Source organism: Homo sapiens, chromosome X, assembly GCF_000001405.40.
Source record: "Homo sapiens chromosome X, GRCh38.p14 Primary Assembly".
Classification (NCBI taxonomy): Eukaryota; Metazoa; Chordata; class Mammalia; order Primates; family Hominidae; genus Homo; species Homo sapiens.
Genome location: NC_000023.11, coordinates 39,367,285 through 39,392,542, shown reverse-complemented (window position 1 = coordinate 39,392,542; position 25,258 = coordinate 39,367,285). Strand labels below are relative to the sequence as shown.

At 43.7% G+C, this 25,258-nt stretch overlaps 2 long non-coding RNA genes across 2 annotated transcripts; one reads left to right on the top strand and one right to left on the bottom strand.

Moving 5' to 3' along the window:
* Positions 1-768: 768 nt before the first annotated feature.
* Positions 769-25,258, top strand: LINC01282 (long intergenic non-protein coding RNA 1282). The gene is made up of 6 exons (NR_110385.1): positions 769-929; positions 13,317-13,492; positions 15,561-15,681; positions 15,853-16,056; positions 24,952-25,030; positions 25,120-25,258. It is a non-coding gene; the product is annotated as a long intergenic non-protein coding RNA 1282 (long non-coding RNA).
* On the bottom strand, positions 5,524-8,890 carry LOC105373176 (uncharacterized). The gene is made up of 2 exons (XR_949023.2): positions 8,775-8,890; positions 5,524-6,413 (listed from the first exon to the last, which is right to left on the bottom strand). It is a non-coding gene; the product is annotated as an uncharacterized LOC105373176 (long non-coding RNA).

Below are 25,258 nucleotides of genomic sequence, written 5' to 3'. Positions count from 1 at the left end.
GCATTTGCTCAGGAAATTCAGGAATATAGACTGTTTTTCACTTCTGGTTCTGCCAACCTCAGATGGCCAGATAGTGGCTGCTCCACCTCTCAACATTGTGACCGTGTCCCAGGCAAAATAATAGGATAAGAGTTAAAGAAAAGAATCAAAGGGTTCACTTCTGCCAGGTCTTTCCCTTTAGCAAAACAAAACCAAAAACCTTTCCTGGGAGTACTACTCAGCAACTTTTACCTACGTCTCTTTGAGCAAAACTGGGTCACGTGCTTGTGCATAAATGCAAGAGAGTTTGGGAAGAAGTAGTTTAACTAAGTACATCATCACACCAGACATAATGGGGGTTCTATTAGTGTAAGGAGCAAATCGATAGTGGGTAGTGGGTAGGCAGTGTTGGGCACAATTCTATTCTGTCTCTCAATTTACATGTTGAATGAGGTTGGAAAAAGTCATTGAGTGTGAGGAAAGGAGATACCTGTGAGAACCAAAGACCTCAGCTGCTTCTCTTCTCTCATGCTGTCTCCTCCTGCTGTCCTGGAGTATACTTGCCAACAGGTCTGTGAGATCTTAAGAACTAAGAGAGTGAGTACAGAGTAACACATCTTCAGTTGAATGATGCAGAGGGGTCCTTGTCTCTTTAATTATTATCTAACGTCACAAAGATCATCTTTCTCTGGATTATGACAAAGTAGCTGATGCTGTGAGTACCCCACCCACATTCCCCTTAGCATTTACCAGTCCTGTGCATGCCAGCCTGATTTCTGACTGCAGGAAGCTGTGTCTTGCAGCCTGTGGGCTTTTTCTGGCTGCTGTGGCCCACTACGCCTGCAGCAGGACTGGAGGCTTGCAGGACTGATACCCATTCCCCAGAGCAACCCTCAACCAATGACCTTCAGGATTGGGTGGATAAATATCCCAGCTCTCTTACTCTTCAGGTAGAATGGCTCTAAGATGTATTTTCTACATTGTCTTCCAGAGTTCCCTAGTGTGATTATGTTCCACTTGCCTGTAGTGATAACCTGCTTGATAATGTACCCTTTATTGGTGGCCTTTCCTTCCTTGCCTCACTTCCTGTGATGTTTAATTTTATATATCAATTTGGCTATTCTGTAGTACCCAGTTTTTGGACAAACACTACTCTAGATGGTTTTGTGAAGGTATTTTTTTTTTTGAATGAGATAAATATTTAAATCAGTAGACTTTGAGTATAGCAGATTACTCTTCATAATGGGAAACCTGTTATGTGGATGGGCCTCATACAACCAGCTGATGGTCTTAAAAATCCTGAGGTTCCCAGAGGAAGAAGGAATCTGCGTCCAGACTGCCTTCCAACTTGGATTATGGCAAGTCCAGACAGCAACATCAGCACTTCCCTGGGTCTCCAGCCTGTCAGCCTGCCCAGAAGATTTTATACTTGCCAGGACCCAGGATCATGTAAGCTAATTCCTTAAAATAAACCTGTCTCTATCTCTATCTCTGTCTCTCTCTATATCTCTATCTCTGCATACAAACATCCTATTCTGTTTATCTGAAGAACCTTGATTAATATGCTTCCTCATTTCCTTATTGGTCTTTCCTAAATAAACTATTTGCATTCAAATTCCTTTCTCAGGATCTGCTTTTGGGGGAACCCAAACTCAGACAGGTCATGTGCCAACCTGTGGTCATCTCTATTATTAGTATGGATCATGGGAAAGGAGACTACACCAACACTTTGGGTAGTCATTCAGGACCACAACTTGGTTTCCCAACAATGGCCTGGACATCAGAGCTCACTGTCTCATCTACAATAAAACTTCCCACCAAAATGCTGTTATTAATGCAACTCAACAACTAACTTACAGCTTCTGGATGTCTCTATTCATATTTTGAAGAGAGAGAATCTCATTCAGTTTTTATCATGTATTTGCCCCCAGGCAAGACATCTACAGTCAGGAAAGTAGAGTCATATGGCAAAAACATGAGTATTATGTATGATGGAAGCAAACCCTGTGCATGACATGGACAATTTTTAAAGAATAAGGACTGGGCAGCCACACCAATAAGCATCTGCTACACTGATATTGAAGCATTCTGCCAATTCTAAAACATAGTGTTATTAGCAATTATAATGACAAAGAACATGAGTGAGACTATGTAAATAGGATTGCTTATGGATAAATCCACATCCTTATAAATGTCAAAGGACAGCTCACTGTGAGGATGGACTTGTTGCGAGGAATGATAAAATTATTGCAAATTTCTTTCAAGGGAGGAGCTTCCACAGATCTGGGCTTCCTGCAGGTAAGGAAAATTAAACATATGGAAATGGAATGAAAGGTGAAGAAAGTGTTCTCTCTGCATGTGGAGAAAATATTATAAATAGATCTTAAGCAGGCAATAAGATTAAGGCATTTTGTGAATCTGAGCTTCTATGCTTGTCATCTGTCTATTATATGATGTCAATAACATCTAGAATGCCTCTCACACCAAGTCAAGCAGGTATGGTCTTTCTCCTCTGCCCTCCATGGTGCTTCTCCTTCCTTTGAAGGTGTCCATCATTGTGACTCTCTCATAAGGTCAATAGCTTATTTGAATTCTTATGTAGAGGTTAAATATTCTTGGACCTACTTTTATGCTTATGTCAGTATCTCTTCCAGAGTCCCATCTGCAATTAAGGCCCCAATGAAGGGGGAAAGATGTCTGATGTCTGCTTTCTTGGGAAGAAGAACACTTTTTAAAAATTTTTTGTTATTATTACTTTTTTGAGATGGAGTCCCACTCTGTTGCCCAGGCTGGAGTGCAGTGGCATGATCTCGGCTCACGGCAACCTCCGCCTCCCGAGTTCAAGTGATTCTCCTGCCTCAGCTTCCCGAGTAGCTGGAATTACAGGCGCCCACCACCATGCCCAGCTAATTTTTATATTTTTAGTAGAGATGGGGTTTCACCATGTTGGCCAGGCTGGTCTCAAACTCCTGACCTCAGGTGATCTGCCCACTTCACCTCCCAAAGTGCTGGGATTACAGGCTTGAGCCACCATACCTGGTGGAAAGAGGCTTTTATGTAGAGGGAATTCCTTCCAGGCAGGAAGAGAACCATCTGCCCTGACGGGGGAAGCACATGGTTCGACCCTTGCTTCCCCATACTAGACTGAGATTCTGAGAGTGGAAGGGAAGATCAGTGACAGTGGGACTTTTGTGCTCCGCATTTGGAACTCGGATGTGGGGACTGCCAGACACGGTGGCCCCATGATGCTCGGCTATAGCCATATAGTTAGCAGCCGAGTAAAAGTTGCAGTGCAGTTTGATCAGGCAGTGTTCTAATTACCTACTGCTATGTAAAGAAAGCATCCCCAAATTTAGTAACTTAAAGTAAGGACCATATAGATTTTTACCATAAATGTGAAATCTGAGCAGAGCTCAATGGGGACAGCTTTTCTCTGTTCCACAAAGCATCAGTTGGGGCAGCTCAAAGGCTGGGGGCTGGAATCATCTGAGGGTTCGCTTACTCACATGTCTTGCAGTTGATGCCGGCTATTGGCTGGGGCTCAGTGGGGACTGTCATCCCTACATGTGACCTTCCCATGTGGGCTGGGTTTTCTCACAACATGGTGGCTTGGTTCCAAGAATGACTGTTCCAATAGGACCAGGTGGAAGCTGTATTGTCTTTTTATGGTCTCAGAAGTCATATAGCATCACTAGAATCATAACCACTATAATTATAGGCCTGCCAAGATTCAGCAGGTGTAAACAGAGGCCCCATTTCTTGAAGAATTAGTGTGAACTTCACATTTAAGAAGATAACATGGGGTGGAATATTTTGGTGCAGTCATCTTTGGAAAATACAATCTGCCACAGGCAGAGAGAGGGCAAAGAGACTGAGCTAGCACGTGGAGCCATCCTCAACTTCCTGGTGCTGTGTATGGAAGTCGTAAATTCCACAGGCCCTAATGGGACTGCAGGGGACAACTGAGGGTCAGTTTGGGGACCTTATCAGGGAAAATTGCTGCTACCAGGCCAAGGGCTGAGTGAATGTCATGGCCACACCTCAAGGTGTCTGCATCACCATCAAGAACTAAGGCTCCGTCATCCATAGGGTGCTATGGGGTGGAGGGTGGTTTAGATTCCTGGTTGCTGAGGAAGGCCAAAAACACTGAGTTGGGGTGGATGTAAGAGTTAGGGAGATGCAATAGAAACAGCAGGAAGCCCAGGACCGGGGCTGGGCATTACTAGTAGAACACCCAGAATAAATGCCAAACACTGATGGGGAGGACTGGGGAATCTGTCTTGGGCAAAGCAGGTGAGAACAATACAGTTACAACAGCTTTGAGAAAAAGAAGATGAGTCGGAAGCAGGGAAAGGATTCTGGTGAAAAGAAGAGCTGAACTGGTTCTCCAGGTTGAGGGATGAGGAGTCAGCTCCCTTTTGGGGAGCCCAGGAAGCAAGGAGTAGAGCACTGGCCTGTCTTTGGCATTTCTACACACACGGGCTCCCTAAATTCTCTCACACAAAACCATTGTGAGACAGCTATGATTATCCTCATCATACAGCTAAGGAAAAGGGAGCTCAGAGAGGTAAAGAAACTTGCCCAAGTCATTTACTAAGTGACAAAGGCAGATTGTGCTCTTTCCCTCTCAGCCTTATCTAATAGAACTTTCTGAGATGATGGAAACGTTTGATGTCTGTGCTGTCCAGGATAGTAGCCACTCATCACACATGGCTATTGAACACTTGAAATGTGCCTAGTGAGGCTGAGGAAGTGAATTTTCAATTGTATTCAATTTGAATTCATGTAAGCTTAAATTTAGATAGTCACAAATGTGGCTAGTAGGTACCATATAGGTGAGGGCTGATATAGATCATTAGCAAGTCACTGCCTGCCTTAATGGAGTGGTGCCTTGCATCTGTCTGATGGGGAGCTTTTGCACCTCTGTGTGTGTGTGCACATGCTTTCATTTTGAGAAAAAGTCAAACTTGCAGAAAATCAGCTATTTCTTCATAATATTTAAAGAATCCAATTCCCAAACAGTTTTTAGTAACCAATATGTAGTGCATTTGTATTCCTTGGAAACTGTTTAGAAAGAATAGTACAGAGTTTGTAAATAAGTCAAATTCCTATATACCTCTTGTATTGCTAATGGTTTGGAGGAAACAGCTCCAACGGATCATTAAAAATGTAGAATAATTTTACATCATTAAGATTTAAGAATGTAGGTGATATCCAGCAGGAGAATGCCAGAATGGGCTAACTCCAAATTGTGTCAGGAAGTTACAAGCTACGAGGGCTTAAATGACACCTGCCAACATGAATTACTCTGTTACTAAGATCAGGAATGATCAGTCCTCAAACACTAGGAGAGGGAGAGATGAGAATGAAGATTTTAAAAAATCTCAAACTAGTATCATGGCTTAATTAGCCACCAAACTAGAATTTGTACAACCTAAAGAGGGTTGCCTTTCACAGTAGGAATTGAAGGAATGTTGAGAGTAATGACAGCATCATCATAATCAGTACATAGCTTCCATCAATGACTTCTCTGAAAGAGAAACAGTCACTTAAAGGTTTTATTTATTTACTTAAAATTCATTCATTATTCATCCATTTTGCTTAAAATGCAAAACCATTCCTTTCTTAACACATCCTTTACTCAATAAAAATAAGCTAACCTTGCTTGATTAACAACATGAGCTCTGAGACATGCTGAAAAACAGTGGTTATTAGAAACTTTGCACCTAGCTTATTTAAAGACAACCATTTCATCCAAACAGATGAAACATTAGGCAGCTCCATACATCGTACAATTTGTTCAGTGACATTTATTGGAACTTGAGTTCCTTCTCCAGATCTTACAACCAACAGATTTTCAAAGCACTGGAACGGAGTCTGTCCCATTTTTTTCCTGCCACGTCCAGATCATGCCATTTGCCTTGCTCAAACTTTCCCTTGTCTTAATGTTGCAGACTGATCATGGGAAAAGTATAAAGAGGTTGGGACTTTGAGATTCCATTCTTGTTTTCTGAAAGGTGCTGTTGCCTCCTATTTGATTTCTAGAAAGAGGGAAGGGATAGGCTGGCCCTAAAGATAAGGCTACAGACTTGGAAGCACAAGAGAAATAGGTAGAAAATTAAGGCAAGGACTTAGGGTACACACAGTTGAAGACAGGAGTACAATGTCGGGGCTGGACTAGAGGCAAGCAGGAACTTGTAAAAGTCAGGAGTTTTGAAGTCACAAGTGACTTGAAAACCGCGTCTAAATAACTTAAGAAAAAAGAGAATGTGTCGGTGTATAAAGTCGGAAACTCCAGGAGTAAATCATCAGGAATAGCTGGGCCCAGGCACTCAGTTGATGCCATTAGACTTCTGTGTCTTTCCTTTCAGTTTCGTTGCCCTCTGATTTTTAGGCAGGCTCTTTCTTCCCGGTGACAGCTGTAGTCTTCTCACCTAGGAGCACAGAAACTCTGTTAGAAAGACTTTTTCTTCTTTCTAATCGTTTCTAGGGAAATTTCCAGGATTATATATCTTGTTGACCTAGCTTGGGTCACATATAGAGTCTGACCCAGCTCTTCTGGCTAGAGGGATAGAATGCTCTGATTGGCTACGTCTGGAGGATGAGCCCCAACCCTGCACTCCAGGAGTGGGGTCATCCTCACCAGAATCATGAGGATGAAGGGTGGATGAGGTAGATCTCTAAAATAAAATCCACGTGCTCTTATTAGAAGGAGTGTTTGATGCTGTTGTTGCCACAACAAAGCTGCATAAGAAACTACCTTAAAACTCAGAGACTTAAAACAAGTCTTTAGACTTTAGCTCATGGAGAACATCATCCATAATTGGTTACCTTCCTGTCCAAGTGTTAGAAAAGGGAACTGCATGTGCAAAGGTTTTGAGGCAGGAAAGATCTTGGTATGTTTGAGAAACCAAAAGTCAGGCAGGGGAGGATGGGAATAGTAGGGAGGGGCTTTAGGTGAGAGACTCATTGCAGGTAAAAAGGGATTTCTTCAGATTTATGTCTTAGTAATTTCCCTCTGCCTGTTGGGCAGAGAATTGGGTAATTAGATTGGAAGGGGCAAGAGAAGAAGTGAGAGGTCTGTTTCCATAGTCAATGCAAGCAACCAGCTGGAAATAGGCAGAGATGGTGTGAAGTGGGGAGATTCTAATGGTATTTTGGAGGAAACAGGGTTGACAGTTGCTGATTGGGGGTGGTGAGGGGAGGGAGGACTAGCAAAGATGCCTGATACTGGGCAGCAGTGTAACGTCAGGGAATGCCCAGGAAGCTAGTGGGTCATAGGACAATTGCACACTCCCAGGGGGCTGGTAGGAACATTAATTAGTTCATATTTGTCTGCATATTCTCAGATAAAAGAGGCTTTATAATCTTCAAACGAAGCATGAAATTTTGAGCTGAAAGAGGCCGTGTAGTGCAAATGAAGATGGGAATGGTTGGGATGGTAGACCAATTACAAGGAGCTTGAACGTTCTTGGTCAGCATCTCTCGGACAGCGGGTACTTCTGGTGGCCACAGAGGGTCTTTTCATCACCAATCTTCCATTCCAGCTGAGATGAGGTCTTTTATTTTAACCTGAAAATAAAAGCCCTTTCCCTGAAGACAGTACCTGCCATCATGTTAATTTCTTCAAAAAGGAAAGAAGAACAAAAAGGAAAGACTTACAGGGTCTTGGGAAGATTATAAAACTCATTAAAAGTTCATTTAAACTTGAGGCAGCCTTGATGTTATTCAGAGATGTTCTCCCAGGTTTAGGGAGAGGGGTAAAAAAGGAGGTCTCAGGAAGGCCTGGGGTGGGGTGAAGGTAGCAAGACATTATTCCCAGGAAGTAATTCCAGTGGACTAACATTAGATGGTAGTTTCTTCTCTTGTAAATTTGACGTTTGTCCGTTTCTTTTAACTGCATATTCTTTCCAGGTTGCTCAGATGAAGCGTCAAAAATTATATTAAAACGCTAGTTAGGAAACATCACCCCCAACAAATCCTGTTCATCAAAATGTTAGTGGTCTCTCTGGGGGCCCTGTGTTCGGTTTGTCAACAAGCTGAAGCCGTGGAGCTGGGGATCCGTGAGGCCCAGGAGCATGATTTAATTAATATCCTACCCATAATACCTTGCTGGGTTTATGCAAACAAAGCCCTGTCACTCCTCACCTTAGGATTTACCCTCTCCTTGAAGCAAGTATTTATTTACCCACAGTTTGACCTCATGATGGTGTTCAGCAGATGTGGATCTTACTTATTTGCATTGTTTTGTGACAGTTGGAAAATTCATTAGTGGTTCAGGGATAAATCCTCTGTGGACCGCCCCAATGATAGGTGAAGTAAGAGGGTTGTCACTAATTAATCCTCCTCTTCAGCGATGCTGGATATTGATGATAACATAGTGCCCCTTTCAGAAATTGCCTGTATCTGTTTGAAATTTGGGGGGCAAAAGTGACAGAAACTGCCTCTTGGCTACCTTGGGCAAAAGGGACTGTTAAAGGATGATATTGGGAGCTTAGATAAATGACAGGGAGGCAGGAACACCGGGTGGGAACCCAGCTGTGTGGCAGGCACTATAGAGGCTGGTGCAGGACAATGCTCTTGGGGCAAAGGAGTGTCCTGCAAACCCTCTTCTGGCTGTGTGTCACTCTGCTCACTGCTCAAGATCCTCTCAGAAGATGAGGTCACATAGCTGCCCTTTGCTGGATGAGGGTAGTGAAGGAGAACACTCTTTGGCTTCCATGGGGAGTGGCGAGGCCCCTTAGGTACCATCCCACCCACCCACATAACACAATGGGAAAGAGGAAATTCCTCACCAGCATAACTGGTAGTGGGAGAAGGTGTGCAGGGCCAAAGTTTGACCAATGTCCAGCATCCTGCTTGCTGTCTGTGAATCACTGCCAGTTCCCAAAGCCTGCAGGCATCAAATGTTTTGCTGCAAAGTGTCATATCTAAGGAAAAATGAGGGGAACTGGGATTATTCCACTCAACGAATCAGACTTGGGTTGGAATAGAACTCAATGGTGTATCAGCCCACTGTCTCTCTGTAAAGCCCAAAGCACTGTTAGGCTGAGGACTTTTGTTAGCTCTTCATACCAACTCAGTTGTAAAGTGTGTGGTGTGGGGATTGTCATCCTGTTTTATACAGATGAGAAAGATGGGGCTCTCTTCCCACGCTTTTCACTCTGCAGCAAGCTACATCTCTATGAGGAACATTTATTTGACAAGTGCTTGCCTGGAAAATAATGGCCAGCTTGTTTTCATCTATGCTGAAAGGCAAAATCGAAGAGATGGGCTTTATGACAGACACACTGATCGGGCAACCAAATAATAAAATGACCTCATACATTCAACACACGTTTACTGCATATCTGTGATGTGCAGTCTAGATATTAGCAGGCAGAGTGTTTTATGGGGAGCACTTTAGGGTTAGGCAGGCAGAAGGGCAACCCTCCGAAGTCCCTGGGCTGTCCTGGAGCAGGCACACCTTCCTCCTCGGAAGCAGTTGATCCTAAGGACAGAGAGAGTCTTATCTGTAAGGGTGGTAGAATGCACCAATTACTCAAAAGGCTCACCATACAAAAGTGTATTTTGGTTGAAGGGCAAAGCTAAGGATGGGAGTAGGGAGTACAAGGACCTCTCTCAGCACCCTGTCTCCTCTCCACCTGAGAAGATTCCCTGGAATGAAATAAGGCTTTAGAAGCTTTGGGGGCTGGGTGCGGTGGCTCCTCCCTGTAATCCTAGCACTTTAGGAGGTTGAGGCAGGACGATTGCTTGAGGCCAGAAGTTCAAGATCAGCCTGGGCAACAGAGTGAGACCCCATCTCTACAAAAAATTTAAAAATGAGCTTGGAGTGGTGCCATGAGCCTGTAGTTCCAGGTTCTCAGCTGAGGCAGGAGGACCACTTGAGTCCAGGAATTTAAGGCTGTAGTGAGCCATGATTGCACCACTGCCCTCCAGTCTGGGCAACAGAGAGAGACTCTGTCTAAAAAAGAAAAAAAAAAGAAAAGAAAAAAAGAAAAAAAAAAAAGAAGAAGACGCTTTTGGGAGCATAGAAGTAAGAAGAAATAGAAGATGGCCTGGAGGGAAGGGGGCAGTTCCTTAAGCTTCCTAATATGCTCCCGGGGCGTCTAGTACCCTGGGCATGTTGATAACTTCCCTTTTATCTCCTGGCCAGACCAGTCTTCAACTCCAGGTTTGTGTATCCAACAGTCTCAAAACCCACATGGCCACAATTCGGCTCTTGATTTTCACCACTGAATTTGTTACTTTTCTCGCAACTGTTATCATCTCAGGAAAGGGCAAATCCCTCTACTCAGTTGCTTGCCTTTGATACTTTTCTTCCTATCACCCTCCTCCCTCCAAGATCTAATCTGTCACTACTAAGTACTGCTCATTCTCCCTCCACAAACTCCCAGGACATCTCTTCCACTGCTTTTCATTCCCGCAGCCACCAAGCTAGAAGCAGCTCCCTCCAGCTATTCCCTTGATTGACTGCAGTTTCTCATAACTGGTATTCTGGCCTCTCCAATCCATGCAGCAGTTACAGTGAATTTTAAAAACCTCTCAGCATTATTTCAATGCACTTAGGATAAAACCCCAGTTCCTCCTAAGTCACACATGGTGTTGTAGTTCATGTCTCATTGCCAGAACTCTCCCTTCCCTCTCTGTGCTCCAGACAGACTAGGTCTTCCTTTGGTTCCTCCAGTGATTATGATGAGCTCTCACCTGCCTTGAGGCCTATGGAAGGCTGGATTCTCCAGGAAGATCGCAATGCAGATTTGAAAAGTTCCTGTCAGCCTAGTGGCAGCTCTGAGCAAAGGGTGCCCATGAGAGCAGCCCTTTGTTGGGCAGAAATGGCCAGCCGAGAATACCACCTCCTTGCTCAGCTGCTGGCCCAGGGCCGCTCTGAGAGGAATGTGACCTCAGCTCAAAAGCTGAGGCTGACCCTGCTGAAGCCAACAGCTGTAGGCTGTCAGCTAACTGCAATTCTCGTAGTTGGGCAGCAAATCTTTCCCTGAAAGGGGATCTGAACAGTGCTTCCTCATATATGCCATAGGAAGTCAACACATGCTCTTTCTCTCACTCCCACCTCTCGCATTGATATCTGTCCCTCTAGTAGACTGTCAGTTCTATGAGGGTGTGCATCCAGTGGCTAGTACAGTGCCTGGCACACAGTGGGTACTCAATAAATATTTCTCTAAAAAAAAGTGAAAAAGGTAGATAGAGAGGGAAGGAGGGATGAAGGCAGAGAGGGAGAGGGAGAAGGGATGGAGTGATGGGGAAAGAAATAAAGGGAGAGAGGGAAGTAGGAAGAAAGGAAGGAGAACAGGGGAAAGGAGAGGTGTAGGGAACAAATGTATGGGTAACTGAATGGGATCTAAGCTCATAATGGCCATCCTTTACCTCTTTCCCCTTTGTATCTGCCCTAAATTCCTGTGTTCTCCCACCTCTGGGCCTTTGCATATGCTGTTCTTTCTTCTTGGAAGAGATTAACCTGCACTTTTTATCCACTCACCATTCAGGTATCAGCTTATTCTCACGTTTGTAGGGAGGTCTGCCCCTGAACTCCTTTATCTGTTAGGGTGAGTTTAACTGCAAATAACAGAAGCTCAATATAACAATGATTTAAACAAGATAGAGGTGTGTTTCTTGCTCACACAAATGCCCAGAGGTAGGCAGTACAGAGTGGGTTTGGCTATTTTGCTCCAAAAAGTCTTCAGTGACCCAGGCTCCTTTTATCTTGTTTCATCCCCTATGGTCTCCATTCTCAAAGTCACTTATGGTCCAAGACAGCTACCCTGATTCCAATTATCACATTCATATTCTGGCCAACAGGAAAGATAAGGGGGAAAGAAGGGCACTTTCTGGAAGTTGCATACACCATTTCTACTTATAGCTATTGCCCAAAATGTAATGGCCATAGCTAGCTGCAAGGAAAGTTGGAAACTGTTGTCATTATCTGAGGTAGCCATTGTTCAGCTACAATTCAGGATTCTGACTGTCAATTAAGGAAAGGATATTGGAACACAACCCCTAGGAGCCTTTGCAATACTCCTCATGTAAATGAGTTATTTATCTTTTTTGTTTCCATATCTTTGTCCACCCCTCCTTTAATTCATTCCAGTTGTATATGTTCAGAGCCTATTTTCGACTTTTGAGTTACACGATGACAGTGATCAGTCCTATTTTGTTTTTCTCTTCATTTCCAATGCCTATGCACATAGTAATATGAAATAGATATTTGTTGAATGAATAAATGAATGAATGAAAAATGGCTCTCATATGGGTTCTCATAGCATTGGAAACACATTTATGTTACAGCAACCATTATATTGTAGTATTGTGTGTGTGTGTGTGTGTGTAAATTTTTTAATTGGCATATAGGAGATGGGTTAGGAAATATTACCTTGGGGTATGTTCATTCTAACCTCCCTGAGATGGTTTTTACAATGTATTGCAGGTCCCCTTCAAGTAGGAAAATCCTTGGATGCTCAAGTCTCTTATATAAAATGGTACAGTATTTGCATATAACCTATGCTTATCCTCCATATACTTTAAATTATCCCTAGATTATGTATAATACCTAATACAATGTAAATGCTATGTACTGTCAACCCTCCGTATCCACAGTTAAATCCATGGATCAAAAATACATTTTAAAAAATTTGTAAGAAACAGTAAAAAATAACAATACCATAATGAAAAATAATACAAATTTAAAAACAATACATTATAACAACTATTTACATAATATTTACATTATCTTAGGGATTATAAGTAACTAGAGATGATTTAAAGTATCTGGGAGGATGTGTGTAGGTTATATGCAAATACTACACCATTTTATATAAGGCACTTGAACATCGAGATTTTTGGTATCCACAGGGATCTTGGAACCAATCCCTGTGGTTACAAAGGGACAACTGTAAATGACTGTTATACTGTATTGTTTTTCTAATTTGTAATATTTGTATTGTTCTATTGTTACTTTTAATTCATTTTAAAATATTTACAATCCCTGGTTGGTTGAATCCGTGAATGAGAAACTCATGGATAGAGAAGGCTGATGGTATTTTTAAATTGGAGTTTTAAATTTAAAAATAATACATGCTTATCATTTCAAATTAATATGCAGATACTTTACTGTAAAAACTGAAGCCTTCTGGTGTAGGATAGATTATTGGACACAATTCTTCACCCCTTCTGTATCCTTCTCTACCCTTTGCTCTGCCCCCTTGACTTTGGAGCATGGCCATGTGACATGCTTCAGCCAATAGGATGTTAGTAGAAATGAACCAAGCAGCATCTTGCCATGTGCTTATGTGGTTGTGCTTTACCTCTTGTATCTCTGCCAGCACCATGAGAAGAGCTTCTCCCCTGTAAATGGCCACTCTCACTTGTGGGTCCATGACTAGCTGAACTGAACCCATTCCACAGTAAGGACCCAAGCCCAGCAGATCTGCAGCCAAAACCAAAGTTGCTCAGTGGGACCCATGCCACATAAGCCGACCCATGGCCAACCTGAAAATAAGTAAGCAAGAATTGTTGTTTTCTAATCATTGAGGTGTGGGGTTGTTTGTTACAGCAGCAATAGCTGACTAATAATCTCTCTTTCCTCCCCCTCAGACCTTTATTCTGCTTGTGCACACATATTTCTGTGTAGATATGTGGCTAGACTATCAATTTCTTAAAAGTGGGGATTGGGTCTTCTTCATTTTTATCTTTTCCCCTTAGAACAGTGATTGAAAACACAGTGGAGTGGGAAGACAGGCCATGGCATATGACATTTCCAGTCAATAACATACTGCTGTGTGACCTCGGCTAAGCTGTGTGATCTTCCTGTGCCTCACTTTTCTTATTTATAAAATGGGAGTATTAAAATCTACCTGACATGGTTGCAGAGAGGAAGGTTTGAATATCCTAGCAGGGTGCCTGGCATGAATGTGCATTACAGAACTGGCATCTTTCATAGTTGGTACAAAATACATGTGTGTTGTTGCTTAGGTAGATATGCCTGAGATGAATAAGGAACTGATGTGAATAATGAGGTGGCTCAGAGTGCCTTGGTGACAGGTCAGTGTCCACCCTTTAGTACCCTTCTTGTCTTGTCATTGTTCTTTGCTTTGAGATCATTGAACCTCACAGCCAAGTTTCCTGGGAAGACAGACAAGCATCTTGTCCTTTGGATGTCAGCTGGTGGGGTGAACACCAGCCAAGCAATCAGAAGGCCTAGATTCTGAGGGCTTCTTCAGTCCATTAGGTAAACCATTCAGCTGTCATTGCCTGGGCCCAATACCAACCATGAGGCAAGGAGATGTTAGTTTTCCCATTTTGCAGACAAGGAAACTGAGGCATGAAAAAATGTTATGACTTACCAAAGAATGAACATGAATTACTGTCTGAGACAAGGGTAGACTCTTAATCTAGTGCTTTTCTTCTATACCCCACTGCCTCCCAGACTGTCAGGAAAATGATGTAATCCACTCCGAGAATTCCCCTCTGGAAGCTCCCCCAACCCCAGCCTGTCTATCTGAAGATAAAAGCAACCACAAATTCAGTTTACATCTTCTTTTACTCCCTAGCCTGTTTGAGCCAAGGCTGAATGGTGCCAATTTGCCTATGGTGGTTTTTATGATGTGGGCTGGGATCACTGGGGACTGTTCTGAAACCATCAAATTCATTTCAATTAGAAGTGTAACTTAATGTCCAATTTTCAAACCAGATTCCCTAGGTAAAAGGAGGCCATTTTGTTTGCTGAGCTGCCTCAACCCAGTGAACAGTATTTCTGGGTACCAATTATGCCCAATTGTGCACCCTGGTTGGGGCATTTTCTCCAAGTTAATAGGAGGCACAACTCAGTCAAAAGGAGGGGTGGGAGAGTCTGCATGGAAAATGGGGGGACATGTGAAATTTGAGCCAGTATAGATCAATTCCAGAACACTGCCCAGGGATTCCTAAAAAAGAACCCAGGGAAAAATAAATACATCTCATCCTTATTAACACTCCAAGCCCTTAAATGAGTCCCGATGTTAATCCCTAAGAGATGCCTAAATATCTATTTCAAATTGCTGCCCTACTTGTCTTATAAAACAACTTGTACTTCTTTTTATTCTCTCCATGTTCAAAAATAAAGGAAATTCCTTTTGCAGTCTAGGGCCAAGGAACAACCCAGGCCTGGCTTTGATTACTGAAAGCCAGAGAATTTTGAGTGAAAGCTGCAGCTGGCTGCCAGGCTTGTTATTAGCAATAAGCATCAAGCCATTCTCAGGAGAGCAGGGGCCTTTTGAGAATGTCAGACAGCAGCCTGCACCTCCTTTTGACAGCACCTGCAGTCACTGCTGGAGGTACAAGCCTGTCCAGAACTCCATTTCCCCTTGGCTGAATCAGCAGCCATAATCAACAGAGAAATAACTCCTTATATTTATATAATATCTACCTACAAGCAACTCAAATTGCCATGATCCTGTTTAAGATTCGACAATGGCTCCCCATTGTCTCTCAGACCAAGTCCAAATGCCTAGGCTTATTGTTCCAGGTCTTGTGACAACAGAGCCCACCTTAGTTATTCAGGAGCTTTTTTATTTTCTTTTTTTAAACAGATTTTCAGCCAAGACATTCTTTTGCAGCCTAAGAGGGTTATTATGGAGAGGTGGAAAGATCTTCAAACCTGGAAGGCTTGCTTCAAACCCCAGCTCTACTCCAACTACAGGATTGGGGCAGGCAAGTTACTCACTCTACCCAGGACTCAGTTCCTTTCTCATTTATAAAATGATGCATTCACAGTAGATGATCTAATCTAACATGTCCTTAGTGAATCTGAAATCTTATATATTTTTTGCTCCGCTAACAGCCCTTTCCAATCCCTTTCTCCCCACTCTGCTTCTATTCTAGAGGCTGGAAGAGCTAAAATGTTCATTTCTCAGCCTCTCCTTCTGCCAGCAATAAGACACTGGGAGGTCTGTTGATGTGGCAGATGGCGGTGGCATGCCCTGTGTCCCATGCCCACAGTCTAATCACCTCTGACTTCAGTCACAGCTGTGGTGGACAGTTCCGTGTGTTCCAATTCACCTCATGCAAGACAGCATCCAGTCTCAAGTATGTGCTGTGCATCTTTCTGCTCTCTGCTCCAGGGCCTTCTCTGACACTATGGAAGCCCACTGGGCCTGCATAAAAACAAAACTTGGAAGTGTGAGATTCATGCCCTTGGGATCGACCCTTAATCGATGGGGAACACGGCCTAGTGGATAGATGCTCCAGCCACCTGTCCTTTGGGGGCACACTTCTGGGAGGCATTGTGTACAGTTATCAGGAGGTCTGGGTGCAATTGAGCCTCTAGGGCCCCAGGCAGTAACCTTTTTAATATGCCTTTATATTGTCATTTTCGTCTTTACTCTCTCATTCTCCTTGCTTCCTCTTGCGCATACAGGGATCAGTTACCAAATAAACTATGTGCACTCAAAGTTTTTGTTTGGGGCTCTGCTTTTGAAGCTACTTAAACTAAAAGAACTGGCATCACCTCTCTGTCTTCTATCTTGACTGCAAATACAGATATGATGGCTGGAGCTAAGCAGCCCTTTTGGGATCAGCCATATACCATGGCTATATGTGAGTGAGTGTGAGAGGGAGAACAATTTAGGTGGCGGGGGATGGTGGTGACTCCACACTGATTGCCTGGGATGGGAGAGTTTCCCTTGGTTTCTCTAGGCTCCTCTGTTTCTATCTCTCCTGATGTGACTGTCTCCTTCCACTGCATATGACTTTAATATTAAACACAGCTTATTATTGTTTTTTTTTTCAATATAAAGTGCTGACACAGTGCAAGCCAACTACCTTCTCTAGTGGCTCACAGAAGAAAGAGTGATCTCTTTGGACACCACGGGGATGGTGGCTGCTCTCCAGTGTGTTGTGCCTCTGTGAGAGATTTTGATGGCACGTGATGTTACTGGCTGATGGAAGAACCCAAGCCTCATGCATGAGGGCCCCCACTTTTCTCATATCTGGAGCTACCTTCTTTGTGACTATAGCCCTCTGCCTGGGCCATTTCGTTCATTGCCAAATTTAGTCCCTTCTCCTAAGCCTAGATCCACATTGCCAGGGCCTGCTGTTTTTCCCCACGTGGTCCCGGTCATTTGGATTTAAACATCTGTGGGACTTGTTCAGTGGGCTCCCTCTTCTTGTCCTTTTGCCTGCCTCTGATACCCTGTGATTAATCATTTGGTTTTCCTTGCACAATGTGGCTCAAATGGATTGGTCTTTGTTTATATTCCTACCAGTCCTGCCCTCGATTAGGCCCTTAATACTTCTCTCTCTTTTTTTCTTGAGACAGGGTCTTGCTCTGTCACCCAGGCTGGAGTGTAGTGGCGTGATCATGGCTCACTGCAGCCTCAACCTCCTCAGGCGATCTTTCTCTCTCAGCCTCCTCAGTAGCTGGCACCACAAACATGTACCCCCACATCCGGATAACTTTTTTGTATTCTTTGTAGAGGTGGGATCTCCTTATAATTGCCCAGGCTGGTCTTGAACTCCTAGGCTCAAGCAATCCTCCCACCTCCACTTCCCAAAGTGTTAGGATTACAGGCGAGAGCCACTGCACCCAGCCCCTTAATGCCCCTCCTAATTGCTTCCTTGCTGCCCTTCTTGGTTCACATCACGCTGCCCTATTCACTCCCAAGAAGTTACCCTTTTAAAGGGTGTTGCTGAGCAAGACATTCCCTTGCTGGAGAACTTTCAGTGACTTCCTTTTCCCCATGGAATGAAACTCAGATTGCTCATTTTATTTTCTAACTAAAAGGAATCAACCATTATTGTGAGAATATATTACTTACAGAGCACCACATTTGGTTTATGCTATTCCTCCCCTCCCCCATGAAATGCCACTCCTCCATCTCAAGCTTTGGAGGTTCTCCCCTCCTTCGAATGCCATGTCTCGCCCTCGAGACTTTCCAGATATCTTCAATCAAATTAAAAATTTCCTCCCTTTTTTTATCCAGAGCAGTGCATACTTCTACTATAGTTTTCATAGATATGCTCTTGCATTGTATTGATTTTTGTGTGTGGACTGTCTCTTTACTAGGGTGTTACTCATTTGTATATCCTGGTGGTTTGGGGTAGAAAGAGAGGTGATGGATGGTGTGGTGGCAATAGTGAAAAGACCAAGCCTGGGTGGCAGCACACAAGCTTCAACACCAACTCACAAAGTGGTTCCAAATATTTGAATTCTACATGTGAAGAAAGTTAAGCCTCATTACCTCAACCAGTTAATTTCAAGTATATTTTCCTTTGCACAAGAGTGCTATATCATACAAATCTGTATAAATACATTTTAAAGTACTCTTTTAATAACTATACAATAAAAATTCTAAGTGGCATGAAAGCATTGAGTTATAATTTAAATGGTGGCATTTTTTCCCCTGCTTGGTACATAAAATATTGGGAGGTCTTATATTGATGGATCTAAGATTCAATGAAATATCCTTGCCACAAAGGAAAAAAGACAAGCAATGGGGCTCCTGACCCTATCTTGGCCATCGGGGAGGGTTTTCCTGAGGAAGTGACATTAAGTTAAGATCCATGCAAAAAAGGACACTAGGAAAGGATTCTTCAATTTTCTTAGGTGAAAGAAATAAAAATATAGCCCCTGTTTCATCCTACTTTCATGAGATTTCCCTACCAGAGGCCCATGGCTCCTCAGCAGGCCTGATTACCAGCTCCCTTAAATGTAGTTCAAGGCTGATTGTGCTGCATTCAGTCCCTGCCTCTTAACCTGGGGATGAATGACACTGACTGAGGCAAGGAGTACCCAACTTTTCAGGGAAGGCAGAAAAGTCAACAGCCTGTCCCTCCAGTGTATGATGTCCCCATTGCTTCAATGTCAGTGTACAATGCCAGATTTTGACATTGATTTTTTCAGATCTGAAACCTTCCTTTGGTTTGGGGCTTCATTTATGTGTGTTCACTACCTCGAAAGGTAACACTAGAAGAAGGGTTTTTAAAATGCTGCCTTGCAGCAAGGGGAAGGGATTGCTTATCTTGGACACACACAGAAAGGAATGAACCAGAGCCTTCGGAGGTTTCCAAAGTGTACTTCAAACCAGGAGCTAGATGAAAGTGAAATAAACAAAATGGCATCTTTATCATAAATATAAGCCAACAGGTTAACCAATAAACAGATTTGGCAGAGATAGTGATGTCTACTTCCTTACTTCTGGAAGATTTGGCTCATTGATCATGGGACTGTCTCCTACTATGTCCAGATTGAGCCTCAGAATCCTTCTCATCACACTGGTGCCAGGCAGCCTCTGCCAGTCAATTAAGGAAACTGATTGATTAGGGCTTCACTTCTGGGGGAAGGAACACTGGAATCCCAACCAAGAAACCTGGCCAGTATGTCTAGCTGTGCTTCCAGCCAGCTATGTGGCTGTGGGAAAGTAATTTAATTTCTCCAAGCCTCAGCTTTCTCATCTGTAAAAGGAGGGACTTGCTCTGAGTTCTTTTCTAGTTCTCACATTGTAAAACTATGAAAAGCAAATAGTGGTAGCATTGGAAATCCATGTGGGCTTAGAAATCACATCAACATTTTGAAGGTCTACTAGATGCTCAGTGTGGCTGTTAAATAATCTGTAAGGAAACAGAAATGTAAACTTAAACAATCAAGAGTCCACCAGTTAGGTCTGGGAGGTGACACTTGTGAATATGAAAGAATTAGGATAGTGAGAAAATCTGATACAGAGACAGCCAATGGAAATTCACAGAGAGAGAGACTTCAACTTGGGATGGATGGAGTTATATCTGCCAGCTATTGCCACAATAATACTGCGTAACAAAAACCTCCTTAAAATCTCAGTGGCATATAATAATAAACATTTATTTCATTTCCAGGTCTGTAAGTTTCAGCCACTCTGGGCCACTCTGGGCAGGACTCAGCAGGTCTCAGCTGGGTTTGCTCATGTGGCTGCAGTCAGCTGTGGGGCAACCAGATGGTTCTGCTCACCTTGGCTAGGCTCAATCATATGTCTGAGGGTCTGCTTGGGAGGTTATCAGATGATGTAGAATGGCTTTGCTTGGGATAACTAGGGTGAGTTGGCTATGCTCCTTACATCTTTCTTCCTGTAGCTTCTTGGCTCAGGCATGTACTCATGACAATATATTTGATAACAAGAGCACAAACAGAAACACAGACATGCTAATTCAAGCTTTGCTTGCCTCACTCTGCTAACATTCCAGGAGAGGATGAAGGCCGTCTACAAACGATGCTTTGATAACTTAAAGGATGCATTGCCCTGGGGCTAAGGGACTATTTTCTTCAAACTCATACTTATGATAATGTGGTTCAGTGAAGGATTGTTGAGTCACTTCCACACATGACAGACCATCTGCGCAAGTAATTTGGATGTTAAACTCTAGAACTTTCCAGCATCATCAGATAGTTTAGGGCATCAAAAGGGGAAGAAAGGTGGTGCTTTAGGCATTGACGCTGTATAGGGATTAGATAGGAGAATCTTTAATGACTATTCTTTTCTGATTTTCTAAATTGGTGCTCAATAATCATTCCAGACCAGGTTTAAGCACCATCCCAGTTCTGCAGGGCCCCGTCTACCCCAACCCCTCTTTCTCGGTCACTTGTGCTGTCTAGTCAGAGCGGCTTCAGCCACTGCTTTGCTTTCTGCAGTTGGGAAGTGCCACTTCGCTAGTTTCACTGGGCTTCAGCCTGATTTCTTCTTACCCACTGCAGGGTCTCCAGCACTAGTTTCAAATTATGAAGACTTGGCTTCTCTAAAAGCTCCTGGAGAGGTAAGGAACACAGCTGGGATATGTGGGGGAATTAACACCACTCTGGAGTGAGCTGTGACAAGAGAGAGACAAGTGGTAGGAAGGGACTGGTATCAGGGCCCTTCACTCTCATTGGCTGGTTTCAAATGCAGTGGTTTCATAGCTTCTTTGAAGAAGTCCATGATGACTGAGTGGTCAGCTGTGCATTTTGTGAAATGTACCACCTTGTGTTCATTTTCGTTTTTTCCCTGCCTCACTTCTTCTTTCCCTTCACTCCTACTGTCCTGTCACTTGCCTCATAAAGCATCAGCAAGCTGGCCTCAGCCTCTGTTTTCTTGAGGACACCAGCTATGATACTAACCAAACTTCACTTACTTCTATAGTTTGACTTTTCCAGTACATAAATGCAGGGGAAGGGGGCCTCAGATTTATTGAGAGATTTTATTACACAAAACTTCCTTCACCTCAAATGCATAGACACTCGTGTAAAATGGCATTTGGATTTACAGATGAGTTTCCAATGAGGCTACATTAGGAAGGAACACTCACTAAGAATAGATGATTGGCCAAGAGATATAAGCCACTGAGCCAACTAGTCTGAGTTTAGAGCTTGGTCTGAAGACTAGCTCAGGACAAAATTGCAAGGCAGTATGAAGACTTTGCTTGGTATCTCCTTGCCTGTCTTTACAAAGAACCTCTTCCCATCTTCCTACCAAAGAGATTCTTTTCCTTTTATGTTCTAAATTCAGGCAGCAGCCGAGGTTAGAAAGAATACAATAATCGTGAGTTAAAATGATAGCTTATCGCAACTTGAGGTCTAACTACCACTCAGGGTAATTTCATTTTGTTGGGGAACCCTTGAAAATAGAAGATCATCTCTACAAAGATCTGAATATCTAATAGTAGGAATTCAGGCACTCTAACAACTGGCAGGTAAATTACTCTGTGGTGAGCTTTTGCTTATTTGACCCTACAGAAGTGACTCTTAACTGTCCCTTTTTTTGCAAGGTGAACCAGAAATGATTATCTCACCAGGAAATTGAGCCTCAGAGATGTAATGAGGCTTTCCCAAGATCACTTGGCTGACTAGTAGCAGCTCTATCTCTTCTGCCACTACTCTGGGAGAGATGAAGGAGATCAAAATTTGGGAAGCCTTTCCTGTGATACTGTGCACTCATGAAAAGTTTCTTTTTGCAGTCTGATGGATCAAGAAGGTCAACAAATGGAGGTCAAGGGCGGGTGGGCACAGAGAATTGTTCAGTCTAAGATCGCCCCTGAGAGGGGTTCTAGCATGGCTGCCTACACCAGGTCTATGATTCCAAAGGATGGGGCCTCAGTCCCTTGAGGGTCTTCCCAGTCCCAGGCAGAGCTGCAGCTGGAGTGGTGGCATCAGGAGGCTAAAGACTTGCTTCTGAGTTAGAAGGTCCACAGCATGCAGGCCGTGCACTGCCAAGAGCAGGGCAGAAGGGTTCTAGCTAAAGAGGTTGTTTCCTCTGCCAAGGTTCTAAGCAGCCCAGGAAAAACCCTTTGGCTTCTCTGAGCCTTGGTTCTCTGGGAAAAACAGAGGCAAAACCTTCTTTCCCTACCCCGAAGCATTGATGTTGTGCCACAGGGAAATTTTTTTCTAAATTTAAGTACTGCACAAACACAAGATGCCAATGGCAGAGATAAACTTCTTACCATACGGCATGCAGTAACTTGATGGAAGAGGCCTGTATTCATTTCTTGTTGCTGCTGTAACAACTTACCACAAACTTGGTGACTTAAAACAACACATATTTGCTCTCTTACAGTTCTGGAGGCCAGATGTCTAAAATCAGTCTCACAAGGCTTAAGTTAAGGTACCAGGAAGGCTGGTTCCTTCTGGAGGCTCTGAGGGGTGAACCCATATCCTTGCCTTTTCTAACTTCCTCATATCACTCCAACCTCTTGCTTCTGTCATCACACCTCCTGCTACAGACTCTGATCTTCTATCTCCTCTTGTAAGCACCCTTGTGATTACATCCAATCTACCCAGATAATCCAAAATGATCTCTCCAACTCAAGGTCCTTAAATTAATCACATCTGCAAAGTCTCTTTTGCCCTGTAATGTAACGTATTCACAGGTTCTGGGGATTAGAATGTGAATATCTTTGGAAGCAATTATTCAGCCTATCATAAAGTCCATTCTCCCCTCTCTAGCAGAGCTACTTTCCGCACTATCCCCAGAAAGTGTCCTACTGTGAGCTGTCAGTATCCCAACCATGCTCCTACAGTACTTAACATTTCTGTGTATGCGGGTTGGACTTCCAACTGCCAGCACCTGCATCTCTGCCTAAGGACTTTTGGTCACTGGAGCCTGCTCTGCCTGTGCAAGAGGGAGGTGCCAGGGAATTGAGGTCCCCATGTCCTCCCCATTTCCTGGGAGGAGCCTTTAACCAATGTCTGATGGGATCTGGTGGATACATACCCCAACCCTCTTGACCCTTGGTTTGGATAACTGAGGTGTGTTCTACATACTGTTTCCCAGAATTGCTCTCCAGTTGCCCACAGTGGTAACTAGCTTGATAACACACCCTTGGTTGGCTGCCTGCCCTGTCTCTTTTCCCCCACTCTTCTACATAAAGAATTATTGGGGCTGGGCATGGTGGCTCACGCCTGTAATCCCAGCACTTTGGGAGGCTGAGGCGGACAGATCATGAGGTCAGGAGATCAAAACCATCCTGGCCAACATGGTGAAACCCTATCTCTACTAAAATACAAAAATTAGCCGGGTGTGGTGGTGTGTGCCTGTAGTCCCAGCTACTCGGGAGGCTGAGGCAAGAGAATCACTTGAACCTGGGAGGCAGAGGTTGCAGTGAGCCGAGATTGCACCACTGCACTCCAGCCTGGGGACAGAGTGAGACTCCATCTAAAAAAAACAAGAATTATTGGGAGATAACTTTTAGAATTATCTCTCAAATTAACTACTTACACTAAAATCCCCACCTCTAAACTAAGACACAAGTCTTGCCAATATTTCTTCTAAGACTTGCTCATGATGTTTTCTTGCCTGAAGTGTCCCTTTTCTCTTCCTGCCCATCTGTTTGTTTTTCCAAGCCCCTCTCCTCCTTGGGGTCTTCCCCAGCACTTCTGTGTGCTCACCAACCTCTCCTCTTGCTGTCTATTCCATGAGGTCCCAATAGGTTGTTGTCTGTATCAAATAATTGGGAGAGACAGTGCAGCATACAGGTTAAGACAATGGATTCTGAAGCTAGACTATGTCAGTTCAAAGCCTCCTCCACCACTTACTACCTGAGCAATAGTGAGCAAGTTACTTACTCTCTCTAAGCCTCAACATGGGGTGGGAATAAAACCAACCTATTGAGCTTCCTGAGAGAAATAGATGTTAGCATAGACAGTTTTCTTAGAACAGTGCTTGGAATATAACAAACACCCCATAAGTCATACCCATCATTAGTCTCTTTAACAGGTTAATAGACAGTGCACTTATAGCATTGCATGAGCCTCTTTCATATACTTATTTAACCTGCAATTAAGCAATTAATTTTTGTGGGTTCAATATCATTTTCTCCTCTAGACTATAAGCTCTTTGAGAGCAGGGACTAGTTCATGTTTATCCCTGCTTAGCCTCAATGCCTGGAGCAGTGAGTTGGTGTTTTATAGTTTTTTTAAATGAGTATTATTTCCTAAAGGAAAGGTGGAGAAAGAAACAGGGTCTGATAAAGGATGGAGGGAAGAAGGGGCCATGTGGGGAAGAAAAACAATTTCTATGTAGTTCTGCCTGGTGCTCAGTGGATGCCTCAGTGTGTCCAGCTAGGAGGCTTGGAGTAGTCAGCAAGCCCTGGGCAGCACTTAGAAGCACTTAGGCCCCTGGGCCTGTGATAGACAGATGCACTTCCCAGCTTCCCCTTCAAGGAGGGCTTCCCTGCCCTGTTGCGAGGAACATGGTCAGCAGGCAGCCTCCAGCGGTCAGTTCCTTCTGGGGAGCATCTCAGCTGCTGGGAGCTGTCTGGCCCTAGGTCATGCCTTTCCCTTGGGTAGTCCACGTCCCCCACTGAGCAGTGGAGGAGTATAAAGGTCTAGCCATTTCTCTACCCGACATGAGACTTTCTAGAGGCGAACTTTGTCCACAGCACTTCACTGGGTTGGCTAAATCTTAACCAGGTGTGCAGGGCAGCTTGAGTCCCACTCCTTGCTGACCTCTGCTCACTCCTGCTTCCTCTCCCTCCCTTTCACAGGTGTGGACTTCTAACAGCCATCTTATATCACAAACGTCATCTCTGCTTCCAGAGGGCACAGCCTAGAACAGGAACAAAGGTTCGACCTCCTTCCAAGTTCAAGTTAATATTTGAGGCTCTCTTTAGAAGTTCAGGGATCCAGAACCACATAATATTTTTCCTCTCTAGGGGCTTAACTCCTCAGTGATGTTAAGTATCCTGACTGAAGCCTGGGAATGTTCCACACTCACTGTCCTGTGGCCCGGACAAATGAGAGTTGTTTATCTTTCAACTCCACTTAGAAAAGTAAATTTAAAAAACTCATTAA